Here is a 26227-nt window from a genome sequence, read left to right on the forward strand (position 1 = left end):
TGTAACTATTTCACCTGAAAACTGAATCCTGGAGGCTTCAACACTTAGGAGCTGTGTGACCTTGACAATTTAGTTGGCCTCTCTAAGTGAATTTCTTATATGACAAATGCAGACAAAAATATCTATAGCAGAAGCTGGCTTTGTTCTGTAAACTGGGAGAATTGCTCATTTTGTGTTTACTACTATGTATTTAGTATTATTTGGCCACAGTGGTCAGGTAAGAAGTGATGAAAAAGTGAATCTGTACTAATGAATCAATCAAAGCACCAGAAAAATAGGAATAGATTCTCTATCAAGAGATTGTGCAACTTTATTTTTCATATAGTAATTGACAAGCGGGTCTAGCTGAAGAAAACATAGATGATAATACCAGAGAAAAAGGAGACCAGCATGAACCGCACACCTGCTAGGTTTCAGTCACTGTCTAGGACCATTACCACATGTAAATAACCTCCATTATCCTTCAATTTCTTCAACCAAACATGAAGTTTCTGGATTGTTTTAATAACATTATTGGCAAGCAGGTTACATAAAGATATATTCTACCTATAAGTCACATGGTATTTACATAAGATCACAAATTTGATGATTTGATGTAGAAATACTGGGTGTTGGAAGAAAATATATGGTAAGAAATCCATTTGAGTTCATGCCAATGTGGACCATAGATGCATCAAACAGGAGTAATTAAAGGGCTAGAGACCATAAAATGTCCAAACTGTGCCAGGAGAGGAGATGAACACAAATCAACCTCTCTGACTGTGAGTAAAGCTGCAATGGTTGGCTCATAATTTTATCTTGTCTAATAGCGCCACAGTTGTCCATTAAGAGATATGGCTATTGGAGCCAGTTGCAGCAGCTCACACCTGTAATCCCAGTAATTCTTCTCCTTTACTAAGGAGTTCAAGGTCAGCCTGGGCAACATAGCAAGACCCTGTCTCTAAAAAATTAAAAAAATAATTAGTTGGGCATGGTGTGCCTGCCTATAGTCCCAGCTACTTGGGAGGCTGAGGCAGGAAGGTGGCTTGAATCCAGGAGTTTGAGGCTGCAGTGAACTATGATCACCACTGCACTCTAGCCTGGGTGACAGAGTAAGACCCTATCTCTAAAAATTAATTAATTACAAAATAACTTTAAAAACAAATATGATTATTATGGTCATAGAAAGATGCTAAACTGTCCCCTTTCTGGATACATTCTATTCTGTATCCAAGGACATCATAAAGTTTTGAGATAATAATTTTTGAGAAACGGAGTGGTTTATCTTCCTAACATTATATCAGAAATTCAAGCAGGCATTTCAACAAAGGAGAGCCTTGCAGTACTTAAACTTCAGTTGCATCTTGTTGCAAGAAAGTTGATGTCTTTATGAAAGGCCTCACAAGGTCACTAAGACCAGAAATATTCTGCCTCTGCTGGATAACTGATGGATCAGTTGATCACAAAGAAAGCTGAGGATGCAGAGAGGCCTATTCAAAGCTTTGGATTCACTATGAAAGAGTCTTGCAAATAAAGAAATTGTCTATGCACACTCTCCACTGCCAACTAGCTGGTCATGATGAATTATCAGGACAATAAATTGTGAATATATATGGGAAGGGAGTGAGGATAATAATTAGAGACATTTTCTGAATTTTTGAGATCCATGAGAAAATAATGTGACTTATGAACTGCATGCTTATGTTCCCCCAAAAATTCATATGTTGAAGCCTTAACTCCCGATATGATTGTATTTGGAGATGGAGTCTTTAGAAGGTAGTTGAGGTTAGATGAGGTCATGAGGGTGGGGGTTCTTATGATGTGATTAGTGCCCTTAGAAGAAGAGACACCAGAGATTCTCTCTCTGCCCCCATGCACACACAGAGAAGAGGTCATGTGAGCACAGAGTGGGATGGCAGTCACCTACAAATCAAGAGATGACGCATCAGATCTACCCTGCCAGAACCTTGACCTTGGTCTTTCACCCTCCAGAATTCTAAGAAATAAATGTCTATTGTGATATTTTGTTATGGCAGCCTGAGCAGACTAAGAAAGTGACCATTAGGGCTATGTCTAAAATCTTCTTTCTAAGTTCTTGCCCCTGAAAAATTAATTTTAGTTTTTATCTGACAGTGGAATAAAGCAGTTGAATGCAGAATGCAATGGACATTTAGCACAATATTCTGATATGTTAAAAGACAAGCACCTTACTTTAAAGGTTTAATCAAGGAAACAGACAGTTGTCTCTGGAACTGTCTGTGGAGCTTGGAGAGGTGTGATGTGGTGGGAGTTGAGAATAGCCCTGATTGTTACAATCACCAGCTAGCTATCTTACTGCCTGCTCAGTGTCCCAGCCTTCTCATCCCTCAGCTCCTGCCTTCAATGACTTCTCCTGGAAATCTCAGTCATGTTGCTTGGTAGCTAGATATATGAAAAGCATAAAGAGAGGATCAGCAGTGTCTGCTCATTCATCTACAAAAAGGCTTTCAAATTCTTTTTCTTGTCTCCCTTTTCGCTATCATCATCCGAAGGCTGTGTCTCATCATTTCTTAGTGTGAAAATATTTCAACATTCCCTGCCCACATGTCCATGACTCATGGTTTTTCTACAACACCAACAACGTATTTATTTCATGGATCTGATCCTTCTACAAAAACCATTGATGGCCACCTTACCAACTGCCTATGCTCCAGCTCTGATTTGTTGGTCCAGCTTCATCTCTGGCCAATACCCTCTCTGACCCCTGGGCAAGCTCCATAATTATACTACCCACCATTGCTAAATGAATCTTTGGCATTCCCACTTGCAGCAGTGGCCTTCCTAAACTTTCCTGTCTCCAATGCCTTTAAACCCCAGTCCCATTACTTATTGTGGTAGGTAGAATAATGACCCTCAAAGATGTCCACAACCTAATTTTCAGAACCTATGAATATGTTGTTATATGGTGAGGGAGAATTAAGGTTGCAGAAGGAATTAAAGTTGCTCAGGAATACAGTTGCCCTTGATATTATCCTGGATTATCCGGAGGGCCTTATGTAATCACAAACGTCCTTTAACATGGAAGAGGGAGGCAGAAGGTCAGTGATACAATGTGAAAACACACAATCGGCCATTGTGGCTTTGAAGATGAAAGAGGTCATAAGCCCAAGAATATGAACAGCCTCCAGAAGCTAAAAAGGCGAAAAAATGGAGTCTTTCCTAGGGACTCCAGAAAGAATATAACCCTGCCAATGTCTTGATTTTTAACCCTGTGTGATCCATTTTGGACTTCTGACTTCCAGAACTGTAAGATAAAAAGCTTGTGTTGTATTAAGTTACTGTGTGATAATTATTAACAGCTAAGAAAGGAAACTAATACACTTGTGTTCATTCATTATTTTATTCATATTGAGAGTCATTTAAGTTCCTCAATTGGCTAAGCGCTGTGGTAGAAACAGAAGTAGAAGATAATGTGCTGGCCCACAGGCATTTAAAATCCACTTTGGAAAGGTAATAACAACTAATGTGTACTGAACACTTGCTCTGATAGTCCTATGCCATAGACTGAATGATTGTGCCCCCTCCCAAAATTTGTATGTTGAAATTCTAACCCTCTATGTGATGGTATTAGGAAGTGAGGCCTTTGATAAGAGATTTTGTCATGAGAGGGAGCCCTCATAAATAGGATTTTTATTTATTTATTAGAGCACTTTTTCATAAGTGCCCTTATAAAAAAAGACCTCAAAGAGCTCCCTCCTCCCTTCCACCATTTGAGATAATAGCGAGAAGATGACCATCTATGAACCAGTTGGCCCTCACTGGACACTGCATCTGCCAGCACCTTGATCTTGATCTTCCCAGCTTCCAGAGCTATGATAAATAAATCTCTGTTCTTTATAAGCCACCCACTTTATGGTATTTTGTTATAGTGGTCCTAGCTGACTAAGACAACATGGCTGTCACATGGTTCATATATTACCTCACTGCACCCTTCCACATCCTTCCACTCTTTGAGTAAAGTAGGCTCAAAGAAGCTAGTAAATTGAGTAAATTCACACAATGGAGGAATTGCCATTTGAACTGAAGTTTAAGTGACTTCACCTAAAGTAACTTAGCAACTTTTAAAATTTAAAAAATTTTTAACTTTGGGGGGTACATAGTGGGTGTATATAATTATGGGGTATCTGAGATATTTTGATACAGGCATTCAATGTGTAATAATCACATCAAAGTTAATGGGGCATCCATCACCTCAAGCATTTATCTTTTGTTAGCTATTTTTTTTAAATAATAAAAGAATAGATAGTGCTTTGGGGTTTCAGAGGGAAAAATACTTTTCGAATTGGCAAAATCAATAATAGTTTCTGGGAGTAAGAAGATTTTGAACCAGATCCGGCTTAGAAGGAACACTATATATTAATTATGATATGCATAGCAAGATGACTATTTAAATAGTCTAGAACTTAATTATGTCTGTATGACTGCTGTTATTATTTTCAGGCTAACTGTCCACCAGGGTTTGCTCTTGGGGCCTACAGGCTGCCCTTAGGCCCTTGCCATGTGCTACCCTCTGTTCACAACAGGGTAATTACTTCATCCTTCATGCAAGCATGGGAATTTCTTTCTGAGGCTTCTTCTTCTTTTAAAGGACTCACCTAATTCATCCTTAATAAATAATGAATTATGCTCATTCATTTTTTATTCATACTGCAAACCATTTAAATTTATCAATTTGCTAAGTTCTGTGGTAGATACAGAAGAAATGACTCACTTAATTAGGCCAGACCCACCCAGGATCATCTTCATTTGTTGAAACTTAAAGTCAACTGATAAGTTTGTAATGAGCTCATAAAAAGAAAACGCTGCATGCCAAATCCAATTCTGATGTAGTGCTTGACATAATGGATATTCTTAGGTCAGGGATATTCTTAGGATAGGCTCTCGAAAGACATTTCCTTGTTGTTGTTGTTGTTGGATTTTTTTCCAACTTTTATTTTAAGTTCAGCGGTACATGTGCAGAATGTGCAGGTTTGTTACATAGGTAAATCTGTGCCACGGTGGTTTGCTGCATAGATCATCCCATCACCATTAAGCCCAGCATCCATTCGCTATTCTTCCTGATGCTCTCCCTCCTCCCACCCCAGTGTGTGTTGTTCCCCTCCACCCATGTGTCCATGTGTTCTCAACATTCGGCTCCCATTTATAAGTGAAAACATGCAGTATTTCGTTTTCTGTTCCTGTTTTAGTTTGTTGAGGACAACAGATGCTGGCAAGGTTGCAGAGAAAGAGGAATGTTTTGCACTGTTGCTCAAGGTATAAATTCAACCATTGTGGAAGACAGTGTGGTGATTCCTCAAGACCTAGAGGCAGAAATACCACTTGACCCAGCAACCCCATTACTGAGTATATACCGAAAGGAATATAAATCATTTTATTATAAAGATACATGCATATGTGTATTCACTGAAGCACTATTCACAATAGCAAAGACATGGAATCAATCTAAATGCCCATGAGTCATAGACTGGATAAAGAAAATGTCATACATATACACCATGGAATACTATGCTGCCATAAAAAGGAATGAGATCATGTTTTTTGCAGGGACACACATTTCTTTGTTGCTAATTCCATCAAAAATAAAAAATAAAATTTGATTGGGAAATATCAATTTTTTCACATTAACATTTTAATGATGTACATTAAATTTTTTGTTGTAAAGATCTATGGGTTTTGACAAAGTGTGTATCATCATGTATATACCATTACAGTATTATACACAATAGTTTTACTTTCCTAAAATCCTGTGTCCTACCTGTTCAACTCTTCCCTCATACCCCTGGCTATTTGCCATCTCTATAATTACGCTTCTTCCAGAATGTCATACAAATTCAATCATATAGTATGTAGCCTTTTCATACTGGCTTATTTCACTTAGGAATATGCTTTTTCTTTTAACTGTTTTTAGAGGAACATGGTCTCACTGTTGTCCATGCTGGTCTCAAACTCGTGGCATTAAGAGATTCTCCTGCCTCAGACTCCCAAAACGCTGAGATTACAGGCAGAAGCCACCATGCCCAGCCAGCAATGTGCATTTAAGATTCATCTATGTCTCTGTGTGGCTAGAAAACTTATTTCTATTTATCCCTGAATCATATTATATTGTAGGCATGTGAAACTATTTATCCATTCACCTAATGAAGGACATCTTGGTTGTTTCCAGTCTTGGTTGTTTCCAGTTTTTAGAGCTATGAAAGTTCAACATCTCCATGAAGATTTTTTGGTAAACTTAAGTGTTCAAATCAGTTGGGTAAATACCTAGATATTGGATCATATTGCAAGACTATGTTTAGCTTTGTAAAAGACTGGCAAACTCTATTTGCATTTGCACCAGCAATGAATGAAGGTCTCATCCATTGCTCCACATTGTGACCCAAAATTGACATTGTCAGTATTTTGGATTTCAGTCATTCTAATAGGTGTGTAATAATCATCTTTGTTTTTAAAAGTCATCTTCCCTGTAATCCCAGGACTTTGGGAGGCTGAGGCAGGCAGATCACAAGGTCAGGAGATCGAGACCTTCCTGGCTAACATGGTGAAACCCCATCTCTAGTAAAAATACAAAAAATTAGCCGGGTGTGGTGGCAGTCGCCTGTAGTCCCAGCTACTCGGGAGGCTGAGGCAGGAGAATGGCGTGAACCCGAGAGGCGGAGCTTGCAGTGAGCTGAGATGATGCCACTGCACTCCAGCCTGGGCGACAGAGAAAGACTCTGTCTCAAAGAATAAAAAAAATAAGGCATCTTCACTGGATATAGAATTCTATGTTCATTTTTTTAAGGATGTTTTGAAAGACGATGTTTAAAAAGTGATGTTTTTAAAACATGATGCTAAAAAGGATAATAAAGATAATTTAAAAATAACGTTACCCAGTCTTCTTGCTTGCACTTTTTTTCTGACAAGAAATCTGCAGTAATCCTTATATCTGTTCCTCTGTGTACAAATGTCTTTTTTTTCTATCTTATCTTAAGATTTTATCTTTATCACTGGTTTTAAGCACTTTAATTATTATGTTTCTGGGTATAGGTTAGTTCATATTCCCTACGTCTGGGGTTTGTTCATCTTTTCTAATAGGTGGTTGTAAAATTTTTATCAAATCTTCAACATTCAGAGGTCAAAAGTTCAAAAAGTTAAAATTTGGCTTTGGCAACATTGTAATACAAAATATCCATTGGATTTATCCCAAATTAAAAGACTTTATAAATTATATATCATGTTTACTTGTTCTATCACGACAGAAACACCAGGGGTCTCAACCAGTGGGCAATAAGAATTCATCAGGCAACACAGTGGCATGAGCAGTAGCAGATGGTTCCTTCACTCTATGAAGAAAGGCAGCTGCCTAACCTTGAGAATTTTCCTAATAAAAGCTTTTTTTGTAGTTTTCCCCTATTCCTAGTACACTAAGATGGCACTGTATTATGATGTGTCACTTCAGACACACTGCTTATGCTCTCAGCTCTGCCCCTTCGAGTTGCTGCACAACTCAAGGGGACATCATTCATATTGCAGAATATTAGAAAATAGTTGTTCTTGTTACTAGGCACTTTTTGGAGCTGCACTTTTTAGGGTTTTAATATGCATAAGTGGAAGGATTAGTATGAAGGTATTAAATGAACAAACTATAACTTCAACAAATAGGAGCAACTTTTTGCCTGGCTTCAATTCTAGATGGGATCTAGAATAAAATCAAGGAACCATGGGATGGTATAAAATAAGCAATCGGAATAAGCACAGTTAAAGTTAACATATTGTAAAGGTTATAGTTAGAATCTGGTGTCAACAAATGGACTTTGATTAAGGTTCTGGCTCTGTCGTATACTGGATGTACTGGAGTTAAGGGGCTTCAGTAAAATAATAGTACCTTGCTAATGGAGCTAGCAATGTTGAATCGCTATTATAATGTCTGAATGAAATGGTGCAGCCTTAAGTCCTCTCAGAAAATTGCCTGATATACATTGATCCCTCAAAAAGTGGTAGTTATTATTTATTAGACAATGAGGTTGAAGCTACAATTGAAGGGACAGAATGCCCTTTGCCAATAGGTTCCATGATTCTGATGCAGTATAGATCATTTTTCTATCCAAGATTATATGGGATCTAAAAATTGGCAAAAAGAAGAATGGAGTCAGACCTGAAAGAAAAGGCAAGAAACCAAATAAGACTGTGGATATTAACCAACCCAAAGAAAAGAAGAAAAAGTAATAGAGCTGGAATACAGTCAGGAGTCTGGGAACCATGGAGATAAAGAATAATAGTGAACAGGAATGGAGAAATAGATAAAGGTCTGAGGAAATTGTCAGGCACTTGTGATTGTAGGCAAGTTTCCTCACCTATAAATGGATAAATTTGATTAATAAAACACTGCTCCTGGGAATGACAATAAAATTAAATAAGGAACCATCCACATGAACATTTGCCACAATGGCAGACAGAGAGTAGACCTGGTCGAGGTCAGCTATTATTATATTATAATGATGGTGTTGGGTAGGTCACAGACACCTTCTGCACAGTTAACATTCAGCCATACCTGACACAGGCCTTAAGGCAATAGAAATTACAAAAGAGTAAATGTGGATTTGAAGACACTAAAAGAAGCACTGGAATGAAAAACTGGAAGTATAGAGAGAAAAGGAACATAATGCATAAATGTTAACGTTAGTGTTCACAGAGTCAGCCATGGCTGGATTGTCGATTCTGTACAAACCTTTTGGAAATGAGCATGTATTTTAAGTCTGTTTCCTTTGCTGATTTGGAGTTTTTGCTGATTTCTTACCCTCAGAAGAGGCTTTTGTGACCATAAGAATTCTGAAAGGCAAATCAAGCAATTAAAATTGTTACTCCCACTTGATAGATGAAGAAAAGAGTTTGGAGATATCTAGAGATTAGTTCATAGTACCCTAGCTCATGAGTGATGACTAAGGTTTGAACCCAGTCATTTTGCCTAAATGAGCTCCCATTCCATTCTGCCATGTGCTATATAAGGAGCATGTTAGATATTCAAACATGAAGGTGGTAACCCCCATAAAACTGAACAGCAGGACAGATGTTGTTTGCCGGAGGCTGAGCCAGATCTGTCTATGAGTGCCAAATTGCTGTCTCAGCGCTGCTGCTGATGCATAGTCTGCTCGCCTGCCCCAGGCACTAGGAGCAACAGGGAGGACCTTCCATATGGCACAAAAGTCCCCAAAGCTCTAGGAGGCACAGCCATGTGACTCCACTGAACTTGCTTTAACACTTCAGCCATGAGCAGCTGGGGCAATGGTCTAGCTTTGGTCAGGATGAACTTAGGGGCTGCCTACAGAGTCCACCTGATGTCTAGGTCCAGGCAGTACCTTCACGGCAAATGTAATTTTCAGTTAAGCAAATTCTGGGTAATTACAGGATTTTTGATATTTTATTAATGAATGAGCTTGCACGAGATATTGAAGGCAATCCATGAGCATATGCATATTTGTGTCATGAAAGCATTTTGGGTTTATTTGTCTCTCGGTACAGCAGAGGCACAGTTGGTATCTGGTGGTTTAAGACAAGCAAAATGAAATCCTTTCCTTTTACAATTATATAAAGCCAAGTTATAAATCAGGAAGGTACCCTGCAAATCATCTCATCTACTATTTTTATAAATGAGATGACTGACGTCTCAGGGGCACCAGTGGAACTTGGTTGTGGTCACAAAGCTGACAAGTACAGAAGCCTGGATCTGCCCCATGATGCCTGGACTTGAGTTTCCCCACTCTTTTGTGTCAGGTAAAAGTCAAATACATATAAAGTACCAGTTCTCTATTTTTCTCTTCTTTCCTTTTGTTTTTGTTCCTCTTTCATTTCTTTATTATCCAATTCAATTCATAATTTAATAATTTTCCCATTCTCTGTCTATTTATGTACTTTGCTCATTTTCTCCCCTTTAAGAATGTGTAAGAATATTCTTTATACAATGCGTTCAATCTGAAAAAGCTTTGTTGGTTTGTTTTTTCTGTTTCCAGTGCTTGTAAAATGGAAACTAAGGATAAGTGTCTTGGCTAAGTTTACACAGCTATCCAGAAACATGTTAAAGCTTTCTTTGCTGTCAGTCTCAAATATTTCTTTACTTATGACCATAACACTTTATCTTTTCTTGTTTCTTTCTGTTTTTTTTTTTTTTTTTTTTTTTTTTTTTTTTGAGACAGTCTGGCTCTGTCACCCAGGCTGGAGTGCAGTGGCGTAATCATGGCTCACTGCAGCCTCAACCTTTCTGGTTCAAGCAATCTTTCCACCTCAGCCTCCCAAGAAGCTGGGACTACAGTCGCATGCCACCAGGCCCAGCTAATTTTTGTATTTTTTGTAGAGCCAGGAGTATGCCTTGTTGCCCAGGCTGATCTCAAACTTCTGGGTTCAAGCAATCCATCCACCTCAGCCTCCTAAAGTGTTGGGATTACAGGCTTGAGCTACCACGCCCAGCCCATTTTCTTTCAATATAGTTAACACTTGTGGGCCATGACCTTCATATTATTGGTAGCATGACAGCACTGTTTTTTCTTCAATACCTACATAAACTCATAAAAATCTTTAGTATTCGCTTCTTCAAACTTCTAAAATTTTAAAAGAGGAGCTCACACAATTTCACTGGTGGGACATTATGGCAACTAGTTTCAACACTTACAAGGGAGAGATTTTATTGTGATGCCTCATAAAATAATTACTATCCTAATTTTAAAAAGCATAAAAGTATATTTTCAACAACTACTGACACATGAATGAACGACATCACATCATTAGCACATCCTTCTCAATTTACATATTCTTTGAAAATCTCATTTACTGAGGTTATTTATGTCTTCATTTACCATTCACTACCTTGATTAGCCTAGGTTAATCAAAATTGCTTTAAGGAAATTGATTAGTTAAAAGTCTTTCTGACGTAATCTGTCAAGCATACCTGATTCAGTCCTACTGTGTGTACTGAACTTAGGCTTTCTTGTGCTCGTCTTCTTCACAGATACCCCCATGAGACTCCGAATATGCCTGAGGCAGACTGAAGTGTAGGTTAACAGATTTTTTATTTGCTTAAGGGTATAATGGATTTCATGAATACTTAACGACTGAATGAGTTTAGGCCAATGGCTGAAAACAAAGGCTAAGACCATTGTACTGGACTATAGTATTTAAGCTACTTTCCTCATCACACCCGCTTCTAAGGAATCTACCAGTCCTTCAGCCCGTAGATGGCCTTTCTTTTACTATGTAACCCATGTCCTTCACTTTTTATAGCTATTTGAACCAAAGATGAGCACTTCATGTAAAAGTAGTAAAATAAAGCCTGGATGGTGATTTTTGACTTGACATGAAGAAGTAAGTATGGTTAATCACAGTTTTCTTCCAGAAATTTGAAGTAAAAAATTTTGAAAGAATTAGTTCACATGTAGGGAGATCAACAAACATATGAAAATACAAGACTGACACCTTGCCCTCTTCCATATGAATATGTTTATTATTTAGTGTAATCGTAAAAAATATACTTTGAATTCAGGAATAAACCTCAAAATACAAGAACACGCTATCTAATACTATCCCCCCAAATAAATAGTGTCTTGAGCCCCTTTCCTATATATTTCTGATTCCCTAATCAGAAATATAATACATAACAATCCTTATAGATATAATAATTATAATTATAAGTCACAACTTCTATTTTTCTACCAATGATTAGGCCATTTATAACTTTCTTTTTCATTGGAATAACAGTGTACTTTTTATTCTGAAAGCCCAGTTCATCTGATGGATGGACCCCTTCTATAGCAAACATTTCAGGTAAACATATTTTATTTTTATTTTCATGCTAAAATTTTTTTTGTTTACTTTTTTTAGTACAAAGATCATGAGTAAGGGCCCAAGAAATAAACAGAGTTTCTGATTCCTAGATCAATTTTAGTTTTAGCCCACATGTTTCCTTAAAATCAACATCCTCTTTTGGGAAAAAAATGCAGATGACTTCTTTCTCACAACCAAAGAATGAAACTAAAACATGTCCTAGTAAACTGAGAAATCCTTATTATCCTTAACATTGACAGGAGTGTATGGAATTCTCTTGCTTTTGGGAGACCCTCACCCGACCTGGCTGAGGATCAGAAGGGTGTGGATGATAAAGTACTATGGCGCAGGTGTACTTACGTAATCTTCCTACCAAATTCCCTATGTATTCCTAAAAACATATAGCAGCGCTTTCTAAACACTGGTTCATGGAGTCCATCTGTAATGATTTTCCTAGAAATGAGAAAAAAAATTCTGTAGTTAATTTTATATAAAAAAATTTATTAAATTTAAAAATATGTTCTTCATGTAAATATCTCCTCCTTTCTATATTCTGGAGTTTGAATATTCTTTCTTTTGTGAAAAGATAATATTAAATAGTGTTTCTTTCTCAAGATCTCATCTTGGCCTGGTAAAATACTGGCCACCATATGTTAATCCAAATGTACATTTTAAATTTTACTAAAAAATTCAGCATAGAGACTACTGAAGTAGAATCAAGACTTGCTGGAAAAATAACCATGTGCTGAACCAGGAAGCCATACAGAAGCCACAGGTAAGGCCAAGAAAGAATGATCATGGGCCTTACAATGAGCTTTGGTGTAGCCAAGGGTGTCATGGTTGCTCAGGAGCCAAAGGGTCACCTTAGGAGCTCACAAACAGGAGGAGGAATCTGGGGGCCAGAGTTTCAGTGATTTTGCTAAAAGGGTAGTTACCAAACAATACTGTTTATTACCATGACTACAGCCTCATTCCATGTGAGTATCTCCTGGTCTGTGAAGCCCAAGAAAGGTGGATTTTTTTTTAAAACCCAAAGAAATTGGACACTAGACTTAATGAGATACATGGAATCCTGTGAACATTCCCTCTTCTGTGCACTTGTATATGTGGTTTCATTTTTCCACCTAGGCCTATGGTTTCTAATCCCGGGTGCATATTAGAAACACCTAGGAGTTTTATATAACCACCCAAAGAGCACTGTGATGAGTCTGGAGGACTTGACCTTCTCCACGGTGTGCCCTTGTATAAGCCACTTCATTCCAGTTTCTTATTACAAAATAAAGTCACTGGAATAAATGATCTCAAAGCTTCCTTTTAGCTCAGATGTTCTACAATTCTGTTCTCTTCCACACATCTATTTTTTCCCCAAGAAGGAAGTGCCATGTCTTGATTCCAAGATGGAAAAATGACATTAATTTTTAATATATTTTCCTTCATTTAAATTTTGATTTTTTTAAAAAAAAATTTTCATTTTTTTTTAAATGAAACAACTCAAGTGCCTGGTTTTTATCTTAAAAGCAGAGATGGCAAAGAATTAGAGTACCTTATTGCTTCTTTTGCTGGGGATGCATGGCCATAGTTCACTGAAGGACAGCAAGTTCTCTTTGTTGACACACCCAAAGGACTTGCTGGAATTACAGAAATTGCTAGAAAGCTGTTCACAGAGAAATGTCTCATCAGAAGCACTCTGCTACAAAACCGCTTGAGGAGGTCGTTGGAGGCAGCTGCTGGCCACCAGGAGTTGCTGGCTGCTGTGCACTGCAGAACCTGGACACCAGAGAAAGTGCAGGCCCTGCTGGGGAAGTCCTGTGTGTGACAGGAGCTCGACCTAGAGAAACCACATAATTCAGCAGGAGTCTGCACAAGGAGCACACTGGAAGCAGGAAGCAAAACTCTTTCCTTTCTTCTGAAATTTCTCTCAAGCACTCGCTACTATCAAAATTTAGCATTGTGTTTGCTAGTAGAGAAAAAATATTTAAAGGCCCCAGATCCACTTTCATAGAACAAGCTAAAAGAGTGAATTAGAAGCTGAGATGCCATAAACTGATAACAGCATAAGCTCCTCGAGGGAGACAGCATGTCTGACTATTCCTATGTTCTTCTGCCTGGGGAACAAAGGGATTGCAGAATGTTTGTGGAAATTGCTGTTACTGTACACATCAATTGTTCTGTGTGTGTTGTCCCCAAAGCCCCCACTGTGGGAAACAGGCCCAAGCAGCATCTGGGTTTTCCCCTGATTTCCAACCTGTACTCCGTCTTCCTCTCATGTTCTTGTCTTACCACTGGAACTGGACTCCAGCTGTGGGTCTCTCACCTTGGAATAGTTTTCTCCAGACACTTCCTTAGTATTCTTTGATTCCACAGACTCTAAAATAGAGAGAAATTCACTAAACCATGTTTACTTTAGGTAAAATGGAACGCATCATCATATCCAGTGTGGATGGACACAGAGCAGGTGCTGACTAAGGAAGTTAGGCAAAGCATTATAGTCTCCAGGCTGCAGTTCCACTGGGCCAATGTTATTTGCAAACACTGTGGGGCTCTGCAAATCTGAGGAAGAATTAAGTCCCCAGACACCTGAGAAAACTCTGGAGGGGCCCACAGAGCCAATGAAGACAAATGTGCAATGGGTTTAGATATTTTTTCTTTAAATTCTTGTTTATGACTTTAATTTTTACATAAACTCATTATCAAGATAACGAGGAAGGATAAAAATGACATGGACAGAGAATGGAAGGGAAAAAGCTGAAACATTGAGAAGCTAGAGTTTCAAAGTTAGAAGCAATAGCTGACATCAAACAGAACTGAAAATAACTGAGTGTATTTCCTTATTGCTTCTTATGAAAGATATCCTGCTTTCCATATTAGTTGTTCAGTCACCTTCCTTAAACAGGCATAGAAAAGTATCATCAGTGCCACAGTCCCTTGTTTCATAAGGATAGGGAAAACAGGGCCTAGTATTTTGGCAATTTGACTTTAGAGCACGGAGAAGCACAGACATGGTAAACGGAAGCAGTGTATACTGAATGCGTTTTTTAATTCCTCTGCTAGAACTCCATATTGTCACCTGCATATTGCAGATGATGTTCTGATTGGAGCTGCCAAGGGCCCTAGAAGCAGGAAGTACCATCAGTCCCAAGCTTTGTTCTGCATAGGAACAGGTGTTATGAAGTGATGAATGGAGAAATCTCAGCTGCCCCACAGAGGGTCCCATGGGTGAAGAAAATCTTGAATGTGCCAAGTTCCAGAGTTAGCCTTCCTCGCTACATGTCTTGAAAATAAATCACATTGAAATCATGTCGACCTGTCCAATGTTGATAAGGATCTCAGGGATAACTAATTAAAAATGCCAGTAAAGCCCTCTCTGCTGCTTATTTAAACTGAAACCAATCATGGGGCTGGTTTGCTAAGCATTTACGTGTGTGTGTGTGTGTGTGTGCCCAATTTTATTAGAAATTTAACATTTTGTTCTTTTTAAATATAACTTTTTTCTACAATTATAAAGATAGTGTATCACGATCATAAACACTTAAAGAAATATAGAACAACAAAAAGAGAAGATTAAAGTCCCACCTTGAACAGAATTTCATTTGAGAGGTCTCCAAGTACAGAAATTCACTATTTTGATGAGAAACAGGAAGAGGAGATGAGGGTCACTACGTATCCCCATGTTTTTGTGTCCTTTGATCTTTCTCACTTCTCTGTAATGCATTCAACTCTTCCTAAGTTTAAGCCAAAATTCAATAATTTTAAATCTGATCTCTTAACTTTTAACTTCTGGCTTAACATCTCAACCCCCATGTTTTTTCTGCATATATAAGGGATGAGTTGAAATTTTTTTAATGTGCTTGTTGGATGAAGACGCTTTAGATAGTCATTGCAGGACAAAGTAAGGGCCTTTGATTTCCTCCATGGCATTGAAGCAAAATGGCCATGAGGTGAGTTTTCCAGACGAGGTTCTTGAGAAGGAAGCAGGCAGGCACAGACAAAAGGCTCAGTGAGGGAGGACTACACTGCAGAATAGAGGAATAGCAGTTAACGAAACAAAATGCCATCAGAAAAGTGTTCACAGTCTGGAGACCAAACTTTTACGGTGCAGACAATCTGTCAGAGCTGGTACAAATTCCTACTTCACCACTGCCCAGACTTGTACACCTGAGCAAGTCACCTGACAACTTGTTACCTTTATTTGTGCATAAGTGATGAGGTTTGGTAAGCATACCTTCTTCACTGGATTATTTTCAGAACTACTACTCATTATTAAAAATCTAGGCAAGCCCCTGGTGCTGAAGCACAGGAGATACTTGATAAGCACTGTTCCCGCGTCTCTTCTCCCTTGCTGCTGATTTACAATCTAGTGGGGTCTGGCGTTGAGGAAACGTTACTTTTGAAGTCATTTTTTCCATAGTTTTTTTTTTTATTCAATATGTGTCTGTATCCTGTTTCCTACCTCAGAGTTTGTAACCCCAGGTTAGCAATACCGAAAGTGTTGCTATGGCTACCACTATACTGTGACTTCGGGTGGTGAGAAAGCTGCAGGAGGCAGAGTCTGTGCTTTCATGCAAATGTCTTCAAAACTGCAGAGAAGGAAGGGTGAGCCTTGTGAAGGTGCTTGGGTATGAAATTTTGTATATGCAGTGGGCAAGGGTTGGAGTCACACCTGCGATGTGAGGTCTGGGCATGTCAGATGCAGACAACATCCTCCCTGCAACACCAGGCCCCCTGCAAATGAGCAAGTGCCTCACTCCAGAGACTCAAACACAAATTCACATTTCCCTGTATTTTTGTCTCTTTTCTCAATCTCTTTTCTATTTCCAACCAGATATCCTTTTCTTCCTTCCTTTAAAACAGATTCTCCCTGATTTTACCCTCAGGAAAAAAAAGGTAAACGCCCTTTTTCCTTTAACTAAACTTGCTTATTGAATTGATTCAGTTTATAGAAGGCAGCAACATCCAGAAACATTGCTTTTCTCCCACACCATCATGAGGTATCGATCCCTCCCTTTCTGTCCAGATATCTTTGGCATTTTTTCTTTTTTTTTAGCTTTACTAAGGTATAATTGACAAATAAAAAGTGTGCATATTTGAGGTGTACAATGCGATGTTTTGATATATATATATATACACACTGTGAAATGATTTCCACAATTGAGCTAATTAACATATCTATCACCTCACATAGTTACCAATTTTTGCATGTGTGATGAGAATACTCAAGAGCTACTCTCTTAGTAAATTTCAAGTATACAAAACATTATTATTAACTATAGTCACCATGCTATACATTAAGTCTCCAGAATTTATTTATCTTAGAACTGAAAGTTTGTACTCTTTGACCAACATCACTCCTCGACCCCTGATAACCACTGGTTTACTGTTCCTATGAGTTCAGCTTTTTTACATTCCCCATGTAAGTGATATCATGCAGTATTTGTCTTTCTGTGTCTAACTTATTTCACTTAACGTCTTCTGGGTTCATCTGTGTTGTCACAAATGGTAGGACTTCCTTCTTTTCGAAGATTGAGTAGTATTCTATTGTGAATATACACACCAAAGCTTTTGGTTTTTTTTTTTTTTTTTTTTTAGACGGAGTTTCCCTCTGTCTCCCAGGCTGGAGTGCAGTGGCCCGGTCTGGGCTCACTGCAAGCTCCACCTCCCATTCCAGGTTCACGCCATTCTCCTGTCTCAGCGTCCCAAGTAGCTGGGACTACAGGCGCCCACCACCATGCACGGCTAATTTTTTTTTTTTTTGTATTTTTAGTAGAGACGGGGTTTCACCATGTTAGCCAGGATGGTCTTGATCTCCTGACCTCGTGATCCACCCACCCCGGCCTCCCAAATTGCTGGGATTACAGGCGTGAGCCACCGTCCGGCCTATACACACCGTTTATTTATCCATTTACCTGTCAATGGACACTTAGGTTATTTTCAAATCTTAGCTGTTGTAACTAATGCTGCAATGAACTTAGGAGTGCAGATGTCTCCTCAAGATACTGTTTTCATTTCCCTTGGATATATGCCTAGAAGGGGGATGACTGGATCATATGATAATTCTATTTTTAATTTTTTGAGGAACGTCCGTACCATTTTCCATAATGGCCATACCAATTTACATTCCCACCTACAACATATAAGGGTTCCTTTTCTCCGCATCTTTGGGGAAATGCAATTCAAAACTACATTGAGATATTACCTCGCACTTGTTATCATGGCCATTGCCATTGCCATTCTAACCTGAGATCACATCAGTCCACAGTTTGAACAGAATGTACTTATCAGTCCAGTCAAAATCCTCAACATGAAAGGCAAAAATTATGCAGAATTACCTCTCCAAGCTCTGGACTTGTCATTTAACATATGCTATATCATTTTATCTTCCTAGCTATTCTACGGAATAGCTGACATTTCCTCATTTTACAGAGATAAGTACTTTGCCTAAGGTCACAGAGTCAGTAAGTATCTGAGTCACTATATACTGATATAGTGCCTGATACTATATAATTGCAAAGCCAGCCCTCATTCTTTCTGCTTAGTTGCCTTATAGTGACATAGACATGTTACATTCAGCACAAAACATTGCACCTATGTGAAAGTATACGCAGCATTAAAAGCTACCAGTTCTAACTGGCCAGTAATGTGTCTAAGAATTTTTTTAAGTCAGTACAGTATTCATCACTGTAACCTATTTTCAGAATTGCTAGTCTTTGAAAAATATGTATCTAGGGAAGCAGAGGAAAGGAAAGAACTGATGTTGCCTATGGCATTTCATATCTAATGCATAGTACTGTACTCCTCAGCTCCCAGAAAATGAATTCCTGTCTTTCTCTCACTTCTTAGAAGATTTGGTTACTATTCACATAACTGAGAAAATGTACATGTTATCCTTTTCCAATCTAATGCTCTACTTTTCCATTATGAAATTAGGAGGCAAAGCTATGATAGAAAAAAAAATGTCCTTTAGACCATGAATAATCAGGGTATGAATCCTGATACTTTCAGCAACCTCATGCAATTATTTAACTTTATAAGAGGCGGCCATGGCTCTCTCCTCGCAAGGGTAGAAGTCATGCTTGTGAAGGGATGTCTGTGCGTATCAGGACCGCCCTACATAATATGCTGTCTGTAATATCATGCTCATCCAAAAAGGCAATAATTATGTTCTGGAGTCTCAAGCACAAATTCATTTTTTCTAGTATTTTTGTCTCTATTTTCAGTCTAATCCCTATTTCCAACCACATAACCCTATTACTATTAAAAAATTCAGGGAAAATGCATATTTAAAGTTCCTAGTAATTTATCTGGCACAGAGTAGATGCTCAACAGAATGAATTTCCTTGTCCTTGTCCTTTTCCATTTCAAAAAGGAGAACAATTCACTTCTCTGGTTTGGGTACAGGCTACTCTTGTTTTTTTGACAAATCCATTATCCACAGGCAATAGCTCTGTGAGAAGTTCAGGAAAATCAGCATTTACTCAACAAAATGACACTCTGATATCATTTCCCTGTGGGGTTTAATTATTTAATAAGCTTACAAACACCCACTGTATATGAAAGGGAGCAAATAGAACAAATCAGGGACTTGGCCTTTGAAAAACTCACAGCCTGGCTGGGGACAGAATGACCCAAGAAAGAGTGGAGAATGTGGGATAAGAAATGCTGCATCTGACTGGGGGACTCCAGATTAGAACCCCAGAGTCATAAAGAGTGTGGGAAGTCTCTCTGACCCCAGGCCAAGTGAAGAGATGATGATGGAATTGAACTCTCCACAAGAGTTAAAGACCTGTAGTTCTTCTAGGTTTCAAGATGATATAAACCCTCTACCCCTAAAGATAGGACCAAATCTTTACCAGGGAAGCCTGGCAGCAATCACCTTGCTCTCTACAGGCTGCAACCAAAGACAACCATTTCCAGGAGTTAGCTGATTAAAAATATTAGTTCCTAGTGAATTGTATTTCAGTATTAGATGTGAGCATTAGGATCTCTGTGTAACACATGGGAGCAGAGAAGCTTCACCTATACTCTTAAACTGCATTGACATGGTCCAGTTTAAGATAGAAATTAGACAAATCTCTGAGTCATTTGAGAAACCCAGCTAACTTAAACTTATGAGTTAAGTATTGGGCTGAGCAGGCTGCCCCAACAGTCTACCTCAACTTTCAGAGGAAAGGACGATTCACCTTCACTTCCAGAGGCTTCCTCAGAGTCTTCCAAGAAGGAAGGCTCTCCATAAGGGGAGTTCTGTGCTACTAGAGACACCCAGGCAATGTTTTCCCTTAGGAATCTCTGCTGAAAATAAGAGGCATCTTGGCTAGTTTGTGTTTCCTCTCCACTGTCTGAAGTTTAGAGAAAACAAACATTGGAAAACAAAAAAAAAGGAGTAAACATTCATTCAGCCCACATCTGGGGTCAAACACTCTTCTGTGTGCTTATCTCCAACAGTGCTAGACATCATTAACTCTATTGAGCAGCTGCAGAGATTAGGATCATGGAGTTAAAGTAACTTTCCCAAGGTTACTGAGCTGGTAAATGGTGGAGATCAGATTCAAACTCATGACTCTGAAAAAAACTTACAAGATTTTTTTATTCTACCATACTGCACCTCCTGAAATGACAAGATTAGCAGTTCCTCTCTTTGTTTCTCTTACCTTCCTTTTTTATTTCCTTCTCTATCTTTCTGTGCTTTCTCTCCCTCCTTTGTATTTCATTTCCTACCCTCACTCTTGATGATATTTGGGTGCCATACAGGTCATGCTTGTTGACATTGGTTCATACTTCTCACTGCACATCATTTTCCAATAAAGTCAAATTCCTATCTAGGGGAAAAGCTTTCAATGAAAAGTTAGAAACAAACATTATATGTGCCTGACCATCAAATTACAAGCATCATTAACTTTCTTCTATTCTCTCTTTATCTTTTTAATATATTTTTAGAGTTATTTATTGCTTAAGACATCAGTTTGTTGAATGACACTTCCAGTCATTGCCTCCAAAATATATAGGATTGTTATGGGATCATACACTTTAGGCAGTATTAAATTGCCAAAGGAAGATTAACTCTTTTCCTACAATTTAATTCTGTAGAAAATTTCCCTTATATTCATATGTGTTGCTTCTACTCATGATTCATATGTGGTGGCTGGTAAGTATTAGGTCTGTCTTTCATTTGCCCCTAGTGTTCAGGGGAGTATTTTATTGTGATGCCATGAAATGCAAGGTTAATATTACTCAACAGGTCATATACACCATTTGCTGTCCACCACGAAGAAATACAATTAAGATTTTAAGCAAATAAACCATCAGAAAGGAATGCATATTGCTCTTCAAGCCACAACTTCAGTGTCATTGAAGAGTCCAAATGGCTGCAATCCCCGTTAACAACATTGTTTATTTCAGAGTCTGGCAGTTTTTTAAACAGCTGAAGGAGCACAAATGTAGGTCACTGTTGGGAAATTATGCTGAACAACGCTCCATACCTCAGAATTGGGCCATGCCTTGAGGTCAGCACAAACATAATAACACTACTGTCTCACTGTTCACGTCTAGCTCTTGGCCAGACCTGTCCGACTCATTTAAGCAGCCACATCCAACTTTATATATGAGCTAAATACAGACAAAATGAAATCTACAAATTATTCTAACTCTGACATGCTCACCTTGTTAACAGATGAGGACAGGGAGTCAGAGTGTAAGTTAAAATAATCAAAATAGGAGAGTGTTTTGGTTATCTAGTAGAGAGTAACAAACCACTCCCAAACTTAATGGCTTAAAGTAACTGCCACATTCATTTTGCTCACTAATCTGCAGTTTGGAAGAGCTGGAAAGAAGGTGGCAGCCCATCTCTGGTTCACTTGGCATTTGCTCAGCCACTCAAAATCATGATGGCATCTTATGAAAAATATCTGTAGAACCTGTAACAGAGAATGGGTTATTAAGTGCCTTTTGGACACCCAACAACAGAAATGACTCTGGACTCTGCCCTGAGATGGAATGTCTGTAACCTTAAATTAGAGAGAGCCTCCACTTTATCCTTGAGAGGGTGGTGGTTCTTTTGACAGTCACTGGCCCCTTTTTCTGGAGGGGCAATTCTTTCTCTTATTTAAAGAATGATAAATGTGAACAAACACATACAAACTATGGAGAACCACTAAATTATTTGATTTTGTGTTTAAAGCAGCTTTTTATCCTAATAAAATGTATACAGTTTAAAATTATCTAAATTTAAAATTTAAAATTTAAATTTAAAATTCTGTCAACAATTTTGTTGACAGAAGCTCCACACAGTAGGCAGAATAACCTTTGGGAAAATAGTATACACCTATGTGAGTGTGTGTATATATATGTCCACATAAATGTATACACATTTACTTATTTATATGCCTATATATGTGTGTAGTTTATATTCATAGTTAACTAGAAAATTATTTTTGCATACCAGGATTATGAACAATTTTTATATAGTAAACCATTTTCTAAAAAGTTTTTCTCTCTACATTGTGTGTGTGTATATATGATATATGTGTATGTGTGTATGTGTGTGTGGGGGGGGGGGGTGGGTGGGTAGGTGCATATATACAGATACCGGCTGGGTTAATAAAAATCTTTGAGGTTTTTACCTACATTCCCTCGAGTAGTGTTATTGTGCCCTAGGTTGGGGGATAATAGTGAAGCCATTTATCCCATAATGTGCACCATGACATTTCTTATGATGTCTTTCATTGAAAAGCCAAGCAGATCCAGAAAAAGTTTGCTCCCGTTTTGATATCAAGCTTCCTTTAGTTCAGTAGCATTCTCTAGTAGTTTTAACTCTACTGAGCATATAAACATTCTAAAACTACCTCTTGGCAATAAAGAACATATGGAGGTTTTCTAAGGTCCTAAATGCTTAGACACAGTAGTACAGACATTATCTCTTAGGAGGACTGTTTACTTCTCACACTTGTTTAACTTTGTCCCTTGCTCTATACCTCACCAGCTTTTCTGGGGATTTTGTTTCCTTTCTGGCCTGATTGGTTGTGAATGGAAGATTGGGATCGTTTGTGGTTGGGATTTACGGATACCTATCGTATAATCATTTCTTCTTTGATTCCACTTGGAGTAACCTGTTATACACTGAGGGAAGTTTTATTCTCAATATATCCACCTAAATCTTTTGACTAAGTCATAAATACCTTCCTTTCTCCTAAGGAACTAGACATTTAATTATCAAAAAATTATCAAATAAAAAATAGACTCAGTTGTCTCCTGTGTCCACTGCAACAGCCCATCTCTGAGGTAGTGGAAACAATGGACAGGCCTCAAGATAACTTAAGATATTAAAATATTAGAAGGGAAGTTGGAGATGGGAGTTTTAGGGAATAAATCTAAAAAAAGGAATTGGCTAATATTTCCAAATAGCATCTTGTCATGATTGGTTTGTACCTCATGTATATTTCTTGTTTATTCATGAACGATCTGCTCTACTAGGTTCTGTACACTTTACAAAAGGAAATAAAAACCATGGTGATTCAAATAAGACCACTGTGGACATCCTAATTTCATCACTTGATGTTTAGTTATCCTTATACAATTATAAGTGACTTTATGATTTTGAATTTCAGTTTTGTCATCTGTAATGTAAGCAACTTCACAAAAATCTTTTAAAAATAAAATAAATAATAAAAGTAAAACACAAAATAACAGCACCTGACATTTAAAAATCTTGCTATGTATCATTTCTTAAATGGCATTCATTCCTCTGAATCATGATTCAGACAAGACCCTTCCTTTGTGTTTCCACAAGGAATCAGTTAAAACATTTGTGTTACACACTGGCCAGAATTGGAACCCAGATTCATTTGTTTAAGCACACGATTCTTCACTTCTATTTTTCGCAAGGGTGTCAGAGAAAAGCTATGAGCCTATTACAGAAGAATGAGCAGAAGTTAACTATGCATTTGGTCAGAATTAAGTTATCATGTGACAACAAGTCATCACTTGAAATTGCTTCTAGGGGGTCATCTGCAGTATATAGAATTATTTAATTGGCTTGTCCTGTAGTTGAAGTCTAGAAAGTTGGAGGCTAGAAAGTATGGACCAAAAACACACCCAAAAGTGAATCCAAAACATTTTGAGAATGGGAAACATTTAAAATCAGTCCATTCAAAAGGCACATTAAATTCAAAAGGCCAAAAATAAAACAGATGACTGACTTCTCAAAAGAAGTGATGGAAGGCAGAAGATATTGAAAAGGTATCTATAAAGAACTGAATAAATATAATTGTCAAACTAGAATTTGATTCACAGTGGACTCATCCTTTAAAAGAGAAGATGAGAAGCCAGGCATGGTGGCTCACGCCTTTAATCCCTGAACTTTGGGAGGACAAGGCGGGTGGATCACCTGAGGTCAGGAGTTTGAGACCAGCCTGGCCAACATGGTGAAACCCCGTCTCTACTAAAAATACAAAAATTAGCTGGACTTGATGGCACGTTCCTGTAATGCCAGCTACCCGGGAAGCTGAGGCAGGAGAGTCACTTGAACCCGGGAGGCGGAGGTTGCAGTGAGCAGAGATCGCACAATTGCACTCCAGCCTGGGCGACAAAAACAAAACTCCATCTCAAAAAAAAAAAAAAAAAAAAGAAGATGAGATGGAAATATTTGCCATACATACACATACACACACACACACACACCCCCAGAGGGAGAGAAAGAAAATTTCTAGAAAACCATCATTTAAAAAAAGATAATAGAGTTATCAAAGAAGGAAAATAATCCCAGAATAACACATATAAATACAGAAAGAAATGACGAACAATTTAATGGGTTTGCATGTTAGTAACTGTCAATGAATACTAACATTTTAATATTATAAAACCATAATAATATCTGAAAGGTTTTAAAAAATATGTAAAACTAAAATATATGACAAAAATAGCAAAGAATATGGTGGCATATAAATATAAAAAAATGTTCTAATGTTCCCATTGTCTGGAAAGTGGTAAAAGTAATACTTTTAATTAGGCTCAAGTAAATTTTTTTAAAGACTTTGTGCTCTCTCAGCTAACCACAAACAAAATAGTAAAAGCATGTTTAACAAAATAATGTCTAAAGGAAGAGAATGTGCAATTTTTAAAAAACTTGATTACTAAAAAAATACTAGAAAAGAATGCTAACAACAAGTACATCAGTTGTGACAAACTGAAAGAACATATAATGAGATATTTAAACTGTAACATATCGTGAATTAATCTAAATTGAAGTGAACTAACCATTTTAATTAAAAGAAAAAATATTAGACCATTAAAACTATATTATCTTAAAAGGGATAAATCTTAATTGTTAGAACAAAAATTACTGAGAGTAATTGAATAGAAAAGGTGTACAATGCAAACTAACTAAAAAAATCAGGCATAACTACACTAATGTTATTTAAAAGTAGTTATTAAAATAGGAAGCATTACAAGAGTTAAAGGGGAATGTTTCAAAATGACTAAAGGATAAAACCTACAAAGACAATTTCCCATTTCTAAATGTGTATGCCTAATAGTACATCCTCAAGATTATACAAAGCAAAAACTATAACGGAGCAATAAACAACATCCAATTATTGTGGGATACAATAACACATCTCCCTCAGAAACTGATATAGCAAGAAGACAAAGTATCAAAAAGGATCTAGATGGAATATCTTTTCAAACTTGACTTAATTGATATGTATACAATATTGCATAAAAACAGTACCAGAGTAAGCATCTTTTTCAATTATGAGTATTCACTGATATTTATTAATACTATATCATGAAGAAATTCAAAAGAATTAAAATCATTTATATATTCCCTGAGAACAGTGGAATTTAGCTAGAGAGTGATAACAAATGGACAATTGAAATTTTCATACATCTTAAAATTAACAATGAAGAACAAAATTGGACAAAAGGTTCTACTGAATACCAAGATTTTTATAATGCTAAAGCTAGTGTTGTATATGTACCAAGCAGAAAAAATTGAAACAGAATGGAAAGCTCAGAAATAGATCCACATATAGATGATTACTTGCTTTATGATAAAGGAGACTTCAGAGCAATGGAGAAAGGTTTTTTTTAAATCAACGTGAGGCATTTAGATAGCCATGTAAAAATTAATCTTTATCCTTAATTCACATAATATGCAAAAATTCAGTACAGGTGAGTTATAAATGAAAATGTGAAAGGCAAGTAGTAAAGCTTTTACACAATAACATAGGAAGATATTTCCATAAACTTATGGTAGGAAAGATGTCTTTGCAAAAATTAGCCAGTGGTGGCACGTGACTATAATCCCAGCTATGTGGGAGGCTGAGGCACCAGGTTCACTTGAACCCGAGAGATGGAGGCCACAATGAACCAAGGTCATGCCACTGCACTTGAGACTCTGTCTCAAAAAAAAAAAAAAAAAAGATATATTAAA

General features: G+C 37.6%; 1 long non-coding RNA gene across 1 annotated transcript; it reads right to left on the reverse strand.

Moving 5' to 3' along the window:
• Positions 1-7989: 7989 nt before the first annotated feature.
• LINC02650 (long intergenic non-protein coding RNA 2650) lies at positions 7990-12673 on the reverse strand. Its single transcript, NR_134317.1, has 5 exons — positions 12614-12673; positions 12166-12258; positions 10934-11029; positions 8723-8823; positions 7990-8149 (listed from the first exon to the last, which is right to left on the reverse strand). It is a non-coding gene; the product is annotated as a long intergenic non-protein coding RNA 2650 (long non-coding RNA).
• Positions 12674-26227: the final 13554 nt, after the last annotated feature.

Source organism: Homo sapiens, chromosome 10 (genome assembly GCF_000001405.40).
Source record: "Homo sapiens chromosome 10, GRCh38.p14 Primary Assembly".
In the NCBI taxonomy this organism is placed as follows: domain Eukaryota; kingdom Metazoa; phylum Chordata; class Mammalia; order Primates; family Hominidae; genus Homo; species Homo sapiens.